This window comes from Homo sapiens, chromosome 13 (genome assembly GCF_000001405.40).
Source record: "Homo sapiens chromosome 13, GRCh38.p14 Primary Assembly".
Classification (NCBI taxonomy): domain Eukaryota; kingdom Metazoa; phylum Chordata; class Mammalia; order Primates; family Hominidae; genus Homo; species Homo sapiens.
This window is the reverse complement of record NC_000013.11, coordinates 28,254,646-28,273,866: the sequence shown is the minus strand read 5'-3', so window position 1 is coordinate 28,273,866 and position 19,221 is coordinate 28,254,646. Positions and strand designations below refer to the sequence as shown.

The following is a 19,221-nucleotide window of genomic DNA, read 5'->3' as shown; positions in this document are numbered from 1 at the left end:
ACTTTAAACAAAATAAGTTGAAAAGAGAAGAATAAGGTGTTTCTCCATGTAATTAAGAAATTCTGCCTTAGAGCAAACCTTTGTAAGTTAATAAATGTTCAAAAAACCCAAAAACTTCTTATACACAAAGAACTAAAATTGTCTTAAAATCATAGCTGCCTATCCTAATGTGAAGCATTCCAATACAAACTGAATGACCTATTTACTTTAGTTTTGTTACTTGCAGAGTAATCAAGGCAAAAACAACTATTCTCTTTTTTTTTTTTGAGATGGAGTCTAGCTCTGTTACCCAGGCAGGAGTGCAGTGGTGCGATCTCAGCTCACTGCAACCTCCGCCTCCCAGGTTCAAGCGATTCTCCTGCCTTAGCCTCCTGAGTAGCTGGACTACAGGTGTGTGCCACCACACCTGGCTAATCTTTGTATTTTTAGGAGAGGTGGGGTTTCACCATGTTGGCCAGGCTGGTCTCCAGCTCCTGAGCTCAAGTGATCTGCCCACCTCAGCCTCTCAAAGTGCTGGGATTACAGGTGTGAGCCACCACACCTGGCCTAAAGCAACTGTTCTTAATGCTTGAAGATACGTTCTTATTCTTCGATACTTTATCATTTAAATCAGGAAATAAGAAACAGCAAAATAGCTAAGAAGCATCACGAGGCCTAAATCAACACTAATAAAATGAAGTCAGACAATAATCAAATACTAATAAAGTATAAGAAGTGAGTGGTATGTTCTGACTAAATAAAAAAATTACTTAGAAAATGGCAATCCAATAACAAACCTATGAAAACATTTCTAAAATTTCATGACTGGTAGTCAGACAAGTGTTCTAAAAGTAAAAATAATAGGTGTAATTAAAGGAGTGAAAAAGAAGGGTGTCATTTAATATAATCCATTCATCTGATTAGTCTTGTTTTAATCTATCTATGCTTAGGACACGTTTCCTAAATCACATAAATACATTTTCATTTTGAACAGTTAAGAGTCTCTGACGTTATCAGGAGGCCGGGCACAGTGGCTCATGCCTGTAATCCCAGCACTTTGGGAGGCCGAGGCAGGCGGATCACCTGAGGTCAGGAGTTCAAGACCAGCCTGACCAACATGGAGAAACCCTGTCTTTACTAAAAATACAAAATCAGCCAGGCATGGTGGTGCATGCCTGTAATCCCAGCTACTCGGGAGGCTGAGGCAGGAGAATCGCTTGAACCTGGGAGGCAGAGGTTGTGGTGAGTTGAGATCGCGCCATTGCACTCCAGTCTGGGCAACAAGAGTGAAACTCTGCCTCAAAAAAAAAAAAAAGAGTCTCTGACATTGTCATGAATTCTCTTTATTCCAACCCACAAGGGCTCTACACTAAGTACATCATAATGGTTAAGAAATACAGCCTGGGCAACATCGTGAGCCTCTATCTCTACAAAAAATAAAAATAAAAAAAATTTTAGCCAGACACAGTAGTGCACATCTGTAGTCCCAGCTACATGGGAGGCTGAGGCGAGACGATTGCTTGGGCCCAGTTCAAAAGCTGCAGTGAGCTGACAGCACCACTGCACTCTAGCCCAGGTGACAGAGCAAGACAGAAGCAAAAGAATAGAAAGGAAAAGAGAGAGAAAGAAATAGAGAGGGGAAAGGAAAGGAAGAAAAGAGAGGGAGGGGAGGGGGAGATACATGTTCAAAGTCTGCATAGACACCACCCCAAAATAAATTAAAATCTAGGCTTAAAACACTGAAATACTTTAAAATGAACAAAATTTGTCTTTAATAAAGGAAAACAAGTAAATATCCATGTTAATTCTTACTCACCTGGTACTGGGCCATTAATGCCAATGGATTATTATTTTGACTGTTATCAAATGTTAAAACATCAAAAACTCCAACACAATTTACTCGCAACCTTTAAGGACCAGATAATTTAAAGAAAATAATTAAAATAAGTTTTTAAAAAATTGCATACTCATGGAAAAGTAACATTTCCCAAAATATTAGGAAGGATCTCAGAATTGAGTTTAACTTCCATCCTACCCCACACCACCTCCACCAACCACCATTTTAGAAATGGTAAAATTAAGGCTCAGAGATATCAAGTGATATACCTACAGCTGTAAAAGTCAGAAACTGAGAAAGCCAGAACTATAACTCACATCTCTTGACTAACAGGTCAGTGTCCTTTTCACCATTCCAAGCTGTTTATTAGTCATTCATAAAAGAGAACTAGTTAGCTTTCTAACACTTGCAAAAGATGTACCAGACACTGTTCTAAGCATTTTACATGACTCATTCAAATCCCTCAATAACTTTATGAGGGGTACCTCATAAATAAGCAGAATGGAGTTAGTAGTACACTTGTCTAATAAGGTTGTCAAAACACAATTTGAAGAAGTAACTTGTTCAACGGCATATCGACAGTAAACTATCAAAGCCAGGATATGAACTTAAATAACTTGGTACCAGATCTTCAGCTCTTTATGTTATGCAGCCCAAGACAATCACAAAATTACAGCAACTCAAAACTCAGGTGAAGACAAGACTGATAACTGTACCAGTTGTTCTCAAAGCATGTGACTCAACAGCAGCAATGGCAACACCTAGAAACTTGTTAAATATGCAAATACTTAGGCCCCAATGCAGACTTATGAATGAAAATCTCTGGGGGTAGGGCCCAGCAAGCTGTGTTTTGTAAGTCCTCCAGGTGATTCTGATTCATGCTAGAATTTGTGAACCATGGTGCTACATAGAAAAGTTGTATTGATATTATTTTTATATTCCCCTAACCCTAACCACATATACTTCCCTAACCTTTCCCAAGATTTTTGGTTAATAACCAGGCATTTTATTCAGAGTTCAACTTTTTTTTTTTCTTTAAAAAGCTTACAAATGAATTCAAAGTTACAGAAGTTCTTCTGGATGGAATATATGAAAAGGCAGAATTAAAACAATCATGTTTTGTTTACTAAGCTGTCAAAGGTAAGACGCTCAATAAAAGAAACCAAAACTCAAAATGCTAGTACCTTGTTTTGCCAGTTATCAGAATCTTTGTTGGATCCATAACTCGACATGCCAAACCTGCTGTATGAATGGTACGCAATGCAGAACTTAGTTGGACAATATATGCCCAAATAAGAGATTCTGGCAATAATCCAGCATGCTGCCTGGGCAATGGTCCCTCGTGCTGACCTATACAGCAAAGAAATCCAAAAAATGACATCTTAAGTAATCAACTAAAAGACTAAAGCATTAACATCAAAATTAGCAAAGACAATTCATGTACACTCATGGCACAACATGTCAATTTATATATGTGTGTGTATGTATGTGTGTAATTTAAGTTTAGTCTATTGCCCAAAGATTCCTGTCCGAGATTATGCCTTTTATATTGATACCAGCAATAGGGCTCTCACTGAAATGCTCTTTTCTGTAACCACTTAATTATTGAATAAAAATTACTTAAAGTAAGAATTTATATGTAATTGTTAACCAAATAAATATAAAAACAGAAACCGTAGAGGTTTTTCTACTTAAAATGTGGCTGGCTAATCCTACCCTGTATTATTGTTTAGGCATGTGAGAGCTGTTCATTGTGTGGCTTGATGGAAATAAAAGTCTCTACCATCACTTATGTTGAATGTTTGTTTTCCTTATATCACTCAGGCCCCTCTACCACAAAGGTGGATTCTATCAACTCATTAAGTGGTTTTTGATAATATTTTCTAGGTCATTGTTAATATGTTGTAAATCAGTAGAAAAGGAGACATATAAATTTAATCAAGATTTTGTAATTATTCCAAGGAATATGACCTTATATTCTTTTCTTTGTAGAGACACTTTTGCTACATTGCCCAGGCTGATCTCCAACTCCTGGGCTCAAATGATCTACCTGCCTCAGCCTCCCTAAGTGCTGAGATTGCAAGCATGAGTCCCTACACCCTGCTGATCTTATATTCATATTGTTGTAAAACAACCTTTTGTGAATCAGTTATAAAAAGCAACATAATTAAATGGTTAATTATGTACTTATAATAAATAGCAAATATGTACTTATGGCTTGGAATAAAATTTCTGGTAAGCAGCACATACAAAATTAAAAATAATTATCTCTCAATTTGGACAGAACAGAAGATAATATACTCTGGAAATATGTGTAAGAAGGCTCAAAAAAATGGGACCGGTAACAAATGCCAAGACAATGTGAAAAATGACTATGAACTGTTTAAATGAAACTATTTAATTAATGTAGTAATAAGGAAACAAGAGTTTTTGCAGCAAACATATAGTGCTTACTGTGTGCCAGACTCTGTTCTAGTTGTTTTACTGATATAGACTCATTCTGAATCTCGTATCAACTCCACATGGTATGCTATTCTTCTCATTTTCTAAATCAATATATTTCTTATACTTTGCTTTTTTTTTTCACTTGTGCTAAGATAATAAATTACATAGTGTAAGAAAATGGTAGGCTTTTATGCATGTATGGTATGGTTAGGGAAGTTACGACTACTCAAACAATATTTTAAACTATTAGAAAAAAGGACTACTTCCTATGAAAATATAAACATTAATATATTAATCAGTGAACACCAAAAACAGAATAATTATGATTAAAAAATTACTGGAAAAGAATGCTATAAAAGAGTGGTTCTCAAAAGAAACCACTCCAGCATTTGGCAACATCTGGAGATATTTCTGGCATTACAATAGGGGTAGAGGGGGATTGCTACTGGCATTCAGTAGGCAGAAGCCAGGCCCTTCAGTCAGAAGAGGCCACTATAAACATTCTGAAATGCATAAGACAGCCCCCACAAAAACTTAAGCAGTTGAGAAACACAGTTATAAATTAAAGCCAACAGTCATTTCACAGGTGTTACTACCAAAATAAATTTGAGCAACAACTATAGTCATCTATAAGAATAGTTGTACCACATCCCCTTCCACAAAATTATGCATGTGTCTACAGATGACATAGCAAAAGGAAAAAAATGACCACATTCTATGACCAGATTTTAAATGTGAAACAGCCATGTAACCACAACTTTCTTTTTTCAACTGTCAGGATGCAAAAAAAAAGAAGTAACAAGTAAACAGAAGTAATATATTTTTGTCTATAATTAGAGTCTTGAAAGGAGTTGTAATCTGAAAGATACTAGAATATGGACTCAAATCTTTCTCCCCTCCTCTTTAATTTTCAAGTCAAGAAAATCTTAAGATTAAAAAGCATAATAACGTGATGCTGCTTTCTTGCCCCCATAGACTGAGACCTTCCCTAAATACATAAATTAATGAATAGACATCTCAAAATGGATTTACTTTTCTCTGAAATCATTTACCCTTTAACACACATTTGTTAGAATTCAAGTATTCTGGTTGTTTGCAAAATCTCAATGATAAAACAATTCTTTAAGTATATATTAGAAAGGGACAAAGAAGAAAATATTTCATGTTTAAGGAAAAGTTACTTAAAATTCTATTTTGAAACCTTAGATTAAGTAACATGGAATCCAACCTTCAAACAAAAGCATTTGTTTAGGGAAATAATTACATAAAGAACAATATAGTCATAATAGGAATCATTAAATTATATTCAGAGAATATAAAAACTATGGGGAAAATACCTATAATAAAGAAAAGATGTAATATGATATAAAAGGTTAAAACAAAAAACAATGCAAAAGGAGACAAAAACAAAACAAAGCAAGATTGAAAAGAAATGTACTAAAAGATTCACAATGGTTGTACTTAGGCAGGGAAGCCAGAGAGACTATTTCTAAGCTATTGAATTTTCCAAGTCACCTTTATTAAGAAAGCATCATATTTTTAAAAGAAAAACATTTTAAAGAGAAAAACAATTTTAACACATTTCCAGTTAAATATCTGATATCTATGTGAGTCTTCAAAAATCTATCTTATCTTAGTAAATATGCAAAAGACATTATTTCCTAACTTCTTGACCATCATCTCCATTTCTTTGACATATTTCTTTTTAAAATGTGATATGGTTTGGCTGCGTCCCCACCCAAATCTCATTTTGAATTGTAACTCCCATAATTCCCACAGTGTTGTGGGAGGGAGCTGGTGGGAGATAACTGAATCATGGGGGTAATTTCCCCCATACTGTTCTCGTGGTAGTGAATAGGTCTCATGAGATCTGACAGTTTTACAGGGGGAAACCCCTTTTACTTGGCTCTCATTCACTTCTCTTGTCTGCCGCCATGTGAGACATGCCTTTCACCTTCTGCCATGATTGTGAGACCTCCCAAGCCACATGGAACTGTAAGTTCATTAAACCTCTCTCTTTTGTAAATTGCCCAGTCTCGGGTATGTCTTTATCAGGAACATGAAAACAACTAGTACAAAATGTAATAGAGTCTTTAAACTAAATGATTACAGGGAAAAATTATACGTATTTTAAAATAGAAAACTACTCTTCCACAGAGCAAAAGCATTAGTCAAAATATAGTTTGCCTGCATCTTTTTCTTACCCCACTTTCTCTTGGTGAAGTAGGCATCAGCATTAGGGTCATTAAAGTGTCTGCTCATCATAGTTTCTCCTCCAGCATGGAAATCATATGCAAACACAAGAGCTTAAAATAAAACACAAACACTCATTACTGAAAGCTGGCTTCAAATAATGAAGCTCACCAGCAGAAAGACAAATTACAAGTTACTCACAGGGCTCAGCAAATGCTTTAGTGGTAAATACTTCACGCAAAGTTACGATATTTGAGTGTTGAATTTTCTTCCACATGTCGACCAACACCATGCACTTTGTGTTAACAAGACGAAAACCTGGAAGACAATTTTTCTACTCCAGTAAACTCTAATTGACGTCTCCTTCATATTCCATCAGAAATGGAAAAAAATTGCCATATTTATACATTGCTCATGAGGTACTAATTTCCAAATAAAAATTTTTAATTCATATATTAAATAATATATTCAAGAAGGTTTGAATAATCTTAGCCTCAATGATACGATTATAAAAGAAGATAACTTATCTTCCTTACCATGTATCCTCCGAAGGCAATATGGCAGATCATCTTTGCTGTTTACAGCTTTGTAGCAAGATGTAATATATCCAAAATTACTTGATTTCTGTATCCGGTTGGGAGGTGGCAGTGGTTCTAGAGGGAATAGGCTATGGTAGCTGTCAACCTCTGTAGGAACTGCTAGAGTAATTCATAAGAAGATGACTTGAAAATACAGGCATTCATAAATCTTTCTCAAAAATACAGAAGACATGATATTTACTATAAACCCCTTGTGTATCACAATGTGCTCTTGTATTTTAGAATAGTGTAAACATTTATTACAATTCCATAAGACAAACTAGCTTCAGTATCAATAAAAATAGGCATTATATAATAAAATAACCAAAGAATAACTAAAGTTCATACATTCAAAAACATTTCCTTTTATAGCACAATACAAATTTGTTCCTCAGAAATAATTTTTATAAATAATTTGAGTTATCACTGAGATAAATTTTTCTGGAGCAAACATTTTATCAGGTTTATAATAAAAAAACATGTATTTTTTAATGCTTCAAATACCATCATGTTTTCCAATTGAACACCAACCTATACTTTCATTCTGTTAACTGTCTCGAATGACTTCGGAATGCTCATGATATTTTAAGTGAACGGAAGATAACCCAACATGTAGTACAGCCATAGTAAACCAACTAGAAGAAAATATAGCAGATGGTAACAATGGTAACCTTTTAAAGGGAGGATTATTATTCTTTTCTATACACTATTTTGTATTTGCCAAATGTTTTATAATATACATGTTTAACACTATTTTTAAAACATGGCATTATGTCTGTTAAAAAAAAAAAAAAAAAACCGGCCGGGCGCGGTGGCTCACGCCTGTAATCCCAGCACTTTGGGAGGCCGAGGCGGGTGGATCATGAGGTCAGGAGATCGAGACCATCCTGGCTAACAAGGTGAAACCCCGTCTCTACTAAAAATACAAAAAAAATTAGCCGGGCGCGGTGGCGGGCGCCTGTAGTCCCAGCTACTCGGGAGGCTGAGGCAGGAGAATGGCGTGAACCCGGGAAGCGGAGCTTGCAGTGAGCCGAGATTGCGCCACTGCAGTCCGCAGTCCCACCTGGGCGACAGAGCGAGACTCCGTCTCAAAAAAAAAAAAAAAAAAAAAAAAACCCTATAAACAAAAACAACTGATAATTTTTGACCTCTGGTAAGAAACACAGATGAAACCCTATTAAGAAAACTAATTCCAGAAGACAGGTTCAAAATGATCCTTCCTCTGCATTTGCCAAATACTTTATGCCCATTATCTCTTAATTCTCACAACAATTCCATGAGGTAGAATTCCCTATTTCATAAATGAGGATAATAAGGATTGCATAGCTGAGAGAGAAAGGTAGGATGCAAACCCAGGACTTTTTGATTCTATAATCATAATCTCTACATGGCATGGCCATAATGAAAAACAAATGTAGAATGATTAAATGTCACCAAGTGGCATGTTCTACTTAAATAAAGGCAGTATACTGCCAAGTGTCATTGCATGTGACTATAGTCCTAGCTACTTGGGAGGCTGAGGCAGCAGAATCACTTAAACCCAGGAGCTGAATTCAGCCTGGGCAACATTTAAGACCTCATCTCTTAAATAAATAAATAAAATAAAAGCAGTACAACGGAAGAATACACACAAGTGAAATAGCTGTAACTTTTACTTTTGCGCATTTACCTAGTTTGTATTTGAATGATTGGTATAATGTCCATAAGGAAGTTAAAATGGTAAATTTTGTTTTCCAGCTATTTCATTTATTAAGGAGCACTTAATACAGGATTAATTTCAAATCAGCAAAATATACTGAGCATCTACTATGTACTAATGAACCTAAAGAAATATTACGTTCTTACCCTCAAGAGGCCTAGAGAAAAATAAAGAACACAAATTTATACAAAACATGTAAGAGGTAAAGTCGCCATTTAAGAAGTACAATTCGCTATGGCACTGGTTCTTAAACGTCACCACCTGTCACAATCACCTAAAGCCTTGTTAAAATATAGTTTGCTGGGCCCCATTCCCCGAGTTTCTGATACAATCTGAAGTGGGATCCAAGAACTCACAATTCTAACAAGTTCCTAAAAGTCAATGAAAATGAGCCTCTGGTTAAGGAATCATACTTTGAGAGCTAATACACTATGAAAATACAAAGAACAGAGCAATTCCCAAGGATAGTAGGCACTCGTTTGCTATGGGGTTGCTAGTAAATTATTACAACTTACAAATCAATGGTGTTTAATTGATATCCCTTGGAAAGCAATTTGGTTCTATGTAATAAGCTTTAAAACCACTTCTACTTTACTTTTTTCTTTTTTTTTGGAGACAGAGTCTCCCAGGATGGAGCGCAATGGCACAATCTCACTGCAACCTCCACCTCCCAGGTTCAAGCGAGTCTTGTGCCTCAGCCTCCCGAGTAGCTGGAGTTACAGTTGGGCACCACCACGCCTGGCTAATTTTTGTATTTTTAGTAGAGACAGGGTTTTGCCATGTTGGCCAGGCTGGTCTCAAACTTCTGACCTCAAGTGATCCACTCACCTTGGCCTCCCAAAGTGCTGGGATTACAGGTGTGAGCCACTGCGCCCGGCGCGTTTTTCTTTTTTATATCTTTTTAAAAGAGCATCAATTTATCAATTATTTACATTTTTTATACTTAAAAGTATAAATAATTATAAAAGTATTTCTGAACTACTGAATCTATAGATCAGTTTAGAAATACTTGAAGTATTTCTTCTAAGGAAAAAAATATTTCCTACAGAAGAAAAAAATTAAGTAGATGAATATGTTCACTGCACTGTAATTCAGGATGCCAAAAACTATATTATCAAGTGTCAAATGGGTGAACTATAATGCAAACAAATGTTACGCGGGAAGGGATAGTCAGAAACATAGGGCGGTGTTTGTTTGAAAATGTCTAAGTTGAAAATTGTGTGCATACTGATGAATCATGTAAAGTACTCATGGATATTTGAAAGAGAACGTGACAAAAAAATTTTAAATATTTTATCATCGCTACAAATGTAGATAAAATTAATTTTTATTTTTTAAAGTATTTTAAAAGTAGATAAAATACACTCATTTATATTTTACAGAAAGAGTTTTAGAGTTCTGTTTTAGACATGTAAGTTCTTAATCTATTTGAAGTTGACTTTTTAATGTGGCTTGAGATAATGACCCAATTTTATCTTGTCAATATAGAAAACCATTTTTTGTGGCCTGAAGCACAGTGGCTCATGCCTGTAATCCCAGCACTCTGGAAGGCTGAGGCAGGTGGATCACTTGAGTCCAGAAGTTCAAGACCAGCCTCAGCAACATGGTGAAACCCTCTCTACAAAATATACAAAAATTAGCCAAGTGTGGTGGTGTACACCTGTAGTCCCAGCTACTTGGGAGGCTGAAGTAGGAGGACTGCTTGAGCCCAGGAGGCGGAGGTTGCAGTGAGCTGCGATCACGCCACTGTACTCCAGCCTGGGTGACAGCAAGATGCTGTCTCAATAAAAGTTTATTTTTTTAATTAAAAAACCAAAAACATTTTTCCAATGCTTTCTTTTCCCCCACTTATTTGCCAACTTTATCACAGAACGTGTCTGGCTCTCTCTAATCTGTTCCGTTAATCAATCTGTTTAACCCTGTGCTATCACCACATTGATTTAGTTACTGCAGACTCAAATCAAACCTCTCCTTCCCTAATACACAAACAAATTCTTCATATGAACATAAATAATAACCATACTCTTCAAAGTACCTTGGATGGTCGTGGCCCTTTATTCTTTGATACATTTTATCATACTCCATGAAAAGATTTGACTGGAAGTTATGCTTTGACTGGAATTCTACTGGATCTACATGTCAGTTCAGAAAAATTGACATCTTACTTGTTCTGTCTTCCTAATCATGAGTAACCTCTACTAATCTACAGTATTTCATTTATATTATTTAATACTGCGTAATAAATAAATCTCCCCTGCTGAAATCTTACCTATCTTTTGTTGTTATTTATTCCTACATACTGATATTGCAAAACCATTTTAAGTAGCATTTGCTTTTAATTATATTTTGAAGTTAACTGGGTACTGGCCTACAGAAATGCAACTGATGTATTAATCTTACATCCAGCCATTTTCTACAGTTTGTTATTTCAAATAATGTCTAATCTGCAGTCACATGATTTATAGATGGTAGGTTTATTTTCTCCTTTCCGGTCTTTGTGCCTTCCATTTTTTTTTCTTTTTAAACTTTTGCAAAACCTGGCTAAAGCCTCAAATACAATATTAAACAGTTAAGAAAAATTCCAAGATGAATATTTCAAAGGTTATGACAAGTAAGTTCCTTCCCACCTTACCTGGAAAGATCCATCTTAAGGTGTAACAGCCAGACATATTTCTTTTAATTCTTTAGCAATCAAGAGACAACACTCACTAGACGATGCTGAATTTCTGATTACAAGCAGGCATTTTGAGATCTTTATGGCAAATGTATTCCTACTGTATTATTTATGAAATTTTACTAAATTATATCATATTTCATTTATACAGAGTAAGCTAAGGAAAGATACTTTAATACGCTTTAAGAAATATTGTGGTACAGTTAGAACAACCTAGTTTTAAGTCTGGAATCAGTCAGCTGTTTACCAGCCATTGGTCCTGAAGGTTAAGTTACTTAACCTGTCAACTTCAGTATTCCTCATATGTAAAATGGAAATGAAAATAATATGTCACAGGATGTTTGTGAGAAATAAAGTAAGACATGTAAAGTATTTAATTAGTATACTGTCTGGCACACAGTAGTCTCACAAATAGGCCTAATAATTACCATCCTCTCCTGCTTAAGAACCCATACTTCATTAAGTTTCAGGAGATAAAAATATTCTGGTGCACAGTAAAGTAAATCACCATGAATTCTAAAATTATATACTTTTTTTGTGAACTAGAATACTGTCATATGTAGAATTAACAGAAATAAACTAGATGATCAGTAGTACCTTGGGACTGTCCTTTTTTTTTTTTTTTTTTTGAGACAGGGTCTCACTCTGTCACCCCGGCTGGAGTGCAGTGGGGCGATTATAGCCAGCTCACTGCAGTCTTAACCTTCAAGGCTCAAGTGATCCTCCTGCCTCAGCCTCCTGAGTAGCTGGGACTACAAATATGCACCACCACTCCCAGCTAATTTATTTTTTGTAGAGACAGGTTCCCACTATTTCGCTCAGGCTAGTCTCAAACTTCTGGGCTCAAGCAATCCTCCTGCCTCAGCCTCCCAAACTGCTGGGATTACAGGTATGAGCCACCAGGCCCAGCCTGGAACTCTTCTTAATAATGCATAAAACATGTACTACCACGTAAGAATTATAACAGCCTTTAAAAGAAAGGAAGGATCAACTTGCTTTTTACCTGGCATATCTGCTTGATCAATTTGAGCCATTGTTATTAAATGTCTGTTGATCAGCTCCTATGAAACAAAATAAGTATATTTTTATTTAAACACAGATTCTGAAACCTGGAATTCCTATTATAATTAAATAACCTAAGTATTAATATTTTTGGCATATGCACTTTTTAAATATTAAAATCATTTAAATATTAAAACATTTCTAAACATGGTAAAATGTCTGAACTCCAGGCCCAGACAGACTTAGACATGCCATAATTAAGATTGGGTTTAAGTAGATGTGCCCCTTAAACACGGGTAGCTGGGCTACCCAAAACACGTGACTAACGCTGTGGCTGAAAATTCAAGGTCTACTAGTAAACTGGTAATAATTAATTTAAAAAACACTATACTGGTAGAACTCACTTCTATGAAACAAAAATATTTCTGAGAATCTGAGTGTAAAGTGAAATTCTACATACCAAATAACTAGCTGTTTACCAAAAATTAAACAAAACAAAAAAACTTTTAAAAAACATTCTTTTAAAAAAATATTGAGCTCTCTTAAAGTTATTTCCTGAGCCAAACTACTTATTTTTAACCTACATCTATTAGAAAAATACTGTTAGAAACCATTTAAATTATTTATATACTTCAAAGAGCCTTTTCATAGAAATAAAATGAAGTACAGAACAGTGAACCATTTAAATAGCTATTCTATGTTTTATATCCTGCCACATAATTTATTTGAAATTTTTTTAAAAGACAGGTTTCCTTAAAAAAAATACCAATTAAAACTTCTAAATTCGATGTGCTTTACTAGAGCATATTTGATTAAATAATATGATTTGAAAAGAGCTCTGTTCTTTCCCCTGTTCACTAAAGCACAGGAGACATTAAGTATTCCTACTATGAATTCTGAAAGCATACCTGTCGGAGTTCATCAGCCATGAAGAAGGAAGGTGCGTTTGCTTTCGGTTGCATATAAGCAACGTGAGGTGCAGTTGGAGGATAAATATGATAGTTTGGAAACACCTAAAAAGGTAGGAAGGGGGTAAATGTAATCACTCATTTTTCTTTCTTTTTTTCAGATGGAGTCTTGCTCTGTTGCCCAGGCTGGAGTTCAGTGGCGCAATCTCGGCTCACTACAAGCTCTGCCTCCCGGGTTCAAGTGATTCTCCTGCCTCAGCCTCACGTAGCTGGGATTACAGGTACCCACCATCATGCCCAGCTAATTTTTGTATTTTTGTAGAGACAGGGTTTCACCATGTTGGCCAGGCTGGTCTTGAACTCCTGACCTCAGGTGATCCACCTGCCTCGGCCTCCCAAAGTGCTGGGATTACAGGTGTGAGCCACCACACCCAGCCTGACTAATTTTTCATAATCAATAAGCTTTATTATTGTTTTGATAAAATTTTAATCTTTACATGATAGCAATAAATTTTAATACATTTTAAATCTTTAAATAATATTGAAGTAAAAACCTCAGAGAATAGCTGTTAGAGAATACTTTCTGAAAGAATTCATATTAAAAATAATATTTCGGCCAGGCGCAGTGGCTCACAACTGTAATCCCAGCACTCTGGGAGGCTGAGGTGGGCAGATCACCTGAGGTTGGGAGTTCGAGACCAGCCTGACCAAAATGGAGAAACCTGGTCTCTACTGAAAATACAAAATTAGTGGGGCATGGTGGCGCAAGCCTGTAATCCCAGCTACTCAGGAGGCTGAGGCAGGAGAATCACTTGAACCAGGGAGGCAGAGGTTGTGGTGAGTGGAGATTGTGCCATTGTACTCCAGCCTAGGCAACAAGAATGAAACCCCGTCTCAATAAATAAATAAATAAATAAAATAAAAAATTAAAAAAATAAAAATAAACATAATATTTCAGTAATCAATTAAAAATCTAATGAGCCAGCCTGGCCAACATGGTAAAACTCCATCTCTACTAAAAATACAAAAATTATCCTGGCTAACATGGTGAAACCTGTCTCTACTAAAAATACAAAAAATTAGCCGGGTGTGGTGGCATGCACCTGTACTCCCAGTTACTCGGGAGGTTGAGGCAGGAGAATCATTTGAACCCGGAGGTGGAGGTTGCAGTGCACCAAGATTGAACTAACGCATTCCAGCTGGGGTGACAGAGCCGAGACTCCATCTCAAAAAAAAAAACAACAAAAAAAACACAAATTAGCCAGGCTTGGTGGCAGGCACCTATAATCCCAGCTACTCAGGAGACTGAGGCAGGAGAATCGCTTGAAACTGGGAAGTGGAGGCTGCAGTGAGCCGAGATCGTGCCACTGCACTCCAGCCTGGGGGACAGGGGAAGACTCTGTCTCAAAAAAAAAAAAAATCTAATGAGAAAGAAAACATTTCTTCAGATACAGTAAAATTTAAGCTCCATTGAGAAGATAAAAGTAGCTCTTTGGAAGAAATGTCACATAGTCAGCCTTCTGTATCCCTGGGTTCTGTATTCAAGGATTCGACCAACCATGGGTAGGAAATATTCAGGGGAAAAAAATGACAATACAACAAATGAGAAGTAATACAAATTAAAAATACATTATAACAACTATTCACAAAGCACTTATACTGCATTAGGTATTATAAGTAATCTAGAGATAATTTAAAGTATACAGGAGGATGTGTATAAGATCTATGCAAATACTATGTCATTCTATATCAGGGACTTGAGCACCCAGGAATTTTGCTATCTGTGGGCGTCCGGGAATCAATCCCCCTTGGATACTAAATGGCAACTATACAAGCAGTTCATCGCCACTTTTTGAAAGCAACTGGAAGGAAGGAAGGAGAAACTAAAGGTGTTTGGGTACTGGGAGATAAGGAAGTGATATTGCCCTGGCTGCCCAAAGAATTTCCCCTTTCACAGGCATTTTGTGGCCAAACTAAACAAAGTGTTATTCAAACCTACTCTAGGTCAGCAGTTTAAGTGAACAGAAGGATACAATAATACATTTACCTTCCAAGCAAACTACAATAAAGTTACTAAATCAGCTTCCAGCTTCTTGTCTTTCATTCTTTCAACTGGACTCATCCCACCACCCTTTGTTCTCTTTATCACTCTTTTCTCTGCCTCTCCTTCACTGGTCCATGATACAAAATCAAAGTTCAGTTTTAAATATCTTTTCTATTTTTTCATTCTTTCATTTTAAACAATGAAACCTTTTTTCTCTTTTAAAAACGAATTCAGCTGATTTGCGCTGCCCTAACATGACTGCTCTGCTCTGCATCTCAACTAGGAAGCAGTTTTGTGATACTTGTAAGGTTTCCTTTAGCCTGTGTCTGCAGGGAGAATAATATCTCTTTTTTCTTGTGTTGGTTTCCTTACATAAGATAGCATAGTTTAGGCTGGGCATGGTGGCTCACGCCTGTAATCCCGGCACTTCAGAGGCCAAGGTGGGCGGATCATTTGAGGTCAAGAATTTGAGATCAGCCTGGCCAACTGATCAACTGGGTGAAACCTCATCTCTATTAAAGATACAAAAGTTAGCCAGGCATGGTGGTGTGCGTCTGTAGTCCCAGCTACTAGAGGCTGAGGTGAGAGGAATGCTTGAACCCAGGAGGCGGAGGCTGCAGTGAACAAAGACTGAACCACTGCCCTCCAGCCTGGGTGAAATAGCGAACATCCATCTCAAAAAATATATATATTTATATAATTTTATATATTAATTATATATTATATATAATTTATATATAATATATAATTAATTATATATTATATATAATTTATATATAATATATATTAATTATATATAATATATATAATATATATTTATATAATTTAATAACTTTACATATATATAAAATATATATGTATTTTACAATATATTTATAGTTTACAATAGGGTTCATGTTCCTATGGAATCTAATGCCTCTGCTGATCTGACAGGAGGAGGAGCTCAGATGGTAATGAGAGCAATGGGGAGTGGGTGTAAATACGGATGAAACTTCACTTACTCGCCCACTGCTCACCTCCTGCTGTGCGGCCTGGTTCCTAACACTGGTCTCTGGTCCAAGGATTGAGGACCCCTGTTTTAGTGGACTCTGACTTTCTCACTCACTTCATCTACTACTTATTTTTCTAGGGTAAATAAAATAATTTTTGAATATGGATGAAGTAATGAAGCTAAAAAAGGTACAATTTACGTAACATGGAATCCTTCCCTCTCCTTCCCCATTCATTCTCGCCCCCTGACTCCTGTTCCTTCTCCCTCTCCTGGAACATTACTAATTGACTCTGATAAGAAATCTTTCTTTCTGGCCATGTTCTTCCTCTTTTGGTCTTAATATTCATGTTTCCTCTGGGGCCACCTCTTCCCATTTGTTTCACGATTCTTCCCTCACTTCATCGCCAGTCCTTTGGTAGCTCTTTCGTCATCTACAATCATGGCTCTCTTGGGTCTGACTACTCTATCTCCTGAGCATAAGAGCCATACTGCAGGCCCCTTATCATTATGTGTCACTCCACCATCCACAGATCTAGCTGTTAAATAACTACCTCATCTGAAATAAGGGTTTATCATTGATTTGCTTCCAGTAACTACTGAGGACATACCATCTACTTTTTCTAGCTTCTTACTGAGGTTAAACTATCTATACCTATAAACAAATGTCAGCAGGCATCAATTCCAGCTAGTACAAGGTAAACCCATAAGCAAAACATGCCATAAAGACTAAAATAAGAGCATGGATATAATCTAATTTCTGATTAAACCAGTTTAGTCCAAAACTAGAATTATTAGTAAGGCAGAACTAGATTAATTTGAAGAGTTGAGAAGAAGAGACTAGACTTCTCATCTAAGTTAGAAAATGAAATACTTTTTTGCATCACAATAAAAAGCTGCAGGAGGGGGTAGACCGCCTCACAACTAAGAAGGTCCTGTTACAAGAGAGTACTAAAATTTCCTCTTTAATGTAGACATACCATTCCAGTCAAAGGTGCTGGAGTTGTGTCTGTATAGAAGTAAGTCGTCCCACCAACAGTTTCCTTTTGGATCACCTGACCAGAAGACGGAGTCTGAGAAACAGGATTATTAACAGATGTAGAGGCACTAGAAGGCACCATGTAACTTGCTGGATTTGGAGTGTGACTTCTTCTTCTGGGAGCAGGAGAAGTATGTGGAGTAATCTTGGGGGAATGAAGAGGGGAAGACCCAGCAGACAACGACATTCCTGAAGAAGATGTAAAAATGTTTCTTAATGGAGCAATAATTGGTTTTAGAGAACAAGTCTGGAAAATAAAATGCAAACATTCATTTGGAAGAAACATCATCTTTGGGATCGTAAGTGCAAAGATGAAGGAAATAATTTTATCTTGTTTTGTTGTAGAAAAAGCTCTGATTAAAGCAAATGTAAAGTTTCTTTTTTCAAATGTACTTATTTCCAAATATGTTAGCAGATTTACTGCAAGAATAGTCTCCTCCATATCAAGGTTTACATCAGGAAATTTAATAGCAAGAGTGACCAAAAATTTAATAAATTAATGGAAGAGTGGGAAGTAACAGAATTGTGGCTCTTTATAAAATTATGCCTTTTATAAAAGTTTTTCTTTTATAAAAGGCATAATTCCTTTTTTATTAAGAATCATTAACAATACAAATAGCACATTCCCCAAATATATTACAGTATTAAAAATTCAAATTATCTAATGAAGAGCTACTAGATTTCATTCAGCCAAATATAATTAACAAAATTGTTTGAAAAAGCAAAAAAAAAAAAGTTGAAATACATAGCAGCTTAAGTGCCATATTTTTAGTATCAAGCAGTCTGTTGTTTTGATGCCTTTTTGTCATTAACTCTAAACAGGCATACTCTGAAAATTTCTACAGATGCATACTATTTAGAATTAGGCCAATTGATACCATTATGTTCTAGTGGAACAACCACTATGTTCCAGTGGAACAACCACAACCAGTAAGAAACATTATGTGCAAAGCGCCCTCTATTATGAGTTTATTGTGAAGAAAGGGAAAGGACAATTGTCTTTACCCTTCAGGAGATTCCAAGCTAGCTGAGAAAAAAAGACCAGGTCACATGTAAAAGACATAAAATAACTTAAAAAAACCCAAATATAAACTAATACACTACAAACTACATGCATAAATGCTGATGAAATGCAAATTAATTAAAACCAGGTAGCGTTAATCAAAGGCTTAATGGAGGTGATCAGTTCTGAGCAGACTGAAAAGGGTATTTAGAGCAACAGTTACCCTTCCTGAAAAAAATAAGCTTATCCAGGAACTGTTTTCTGGCTATTTGGTGAATGCCTAAAAACCTTCACCACTGAAATAATATGCCACCTCACAATATAAGAAAAGGGCTACCAAAAATGCCCTAGTCACAAAATTATGATTAACAGGGATATGAGTTTCAATTTCTAATAATTCATAAGATACCAACATGTTTTCTGAAAACATGTAGGTGAACAAAAATAAGCAGAGAACTGAGGTAATACTTTTCTTTTCTTTGGATAGCCCTCTGTACTTTCTGAAGAGCCTCAACATAATTATTTCTGGTTTTCTGAGCAACTAAAGTAGGTAGGTGAGGTAAATCAGGCTATAAACACCACAGGACATACATGCAAAGTCAACAGCAAAGCCAAGACTCAAACTCAACTCTCCAAATTCCCAATCTAGTACTCCTACTTACTATAACACAATGTCTACTGCATTGAGATTAAAATAGGATAGGAATTCTCGAGTTATGTCTTAAATGTGTATAAAAGAAACTTTAAAAAAACCCAAACTCCTTAAAAAAAATATGAAGCCAAATTACTATATTTATATAAACCTTTTATTTTATTTTTTAAAAACTATTCC

At 36.0% G+C, this 19,221-nt stretch overlaps 1 protein-coding gene across 14 annotated transcripts in view; it reads right to left on the bottom strand.

Moving 5' to 3' along the window:
* Positions 1-19,221, bottom strand: part of PAN3 (poly(A) specific ribonuclease subunit PAN3) — a 157,143-nt gene that overhangs the window by 21,469 nt on the left and 116,453 nt on the right. For 11 of the 14 annotated variants that reach the window (XR_941549.3, XM_011535034.4, NM_175854.8 and 8 more), the window contains 8 exons: positions 17,328-17,575; positions 13,316-13,420; positions 12,409-12,466; positions 6,991-7,152; positions 6,656-6,772; positions 6,466-6,567; positions 3,001-3,166; positions 1,796-1,886 (listed from right to left, as the gene is read on the bottom strand). Coding sequence is in view for 13 of the 14 variants with exons in the window: in XM_011535034.4 (XP_011533336.1) it covers positions 1,796-1,886; positions 3,001-3,166; positions 6,466-6,567; positions 6,656-6,772; positions 6,991-7,152; positions 12,409-12,466; positions 13,316-13,420; positions 17,328-17,575 (1,049 nt within the window). In the remaining variant the exon portion in view is untranslated. The remainder of the gene's footprint in view (positions 1-1,795; positions 1,887-3,000; positions 3,167-6,465; positions 6,568-6,655; positions 6,773-6,990; positions 7,153-12,408; positions 12,467-13,315; positions 13,421-17,327; positions 17,576-19,221) is intronic. The other 3 variants (XM_005266332.4, XM_047430249.1, XM_017020530.3) reach the window with 2 other exon arrangements.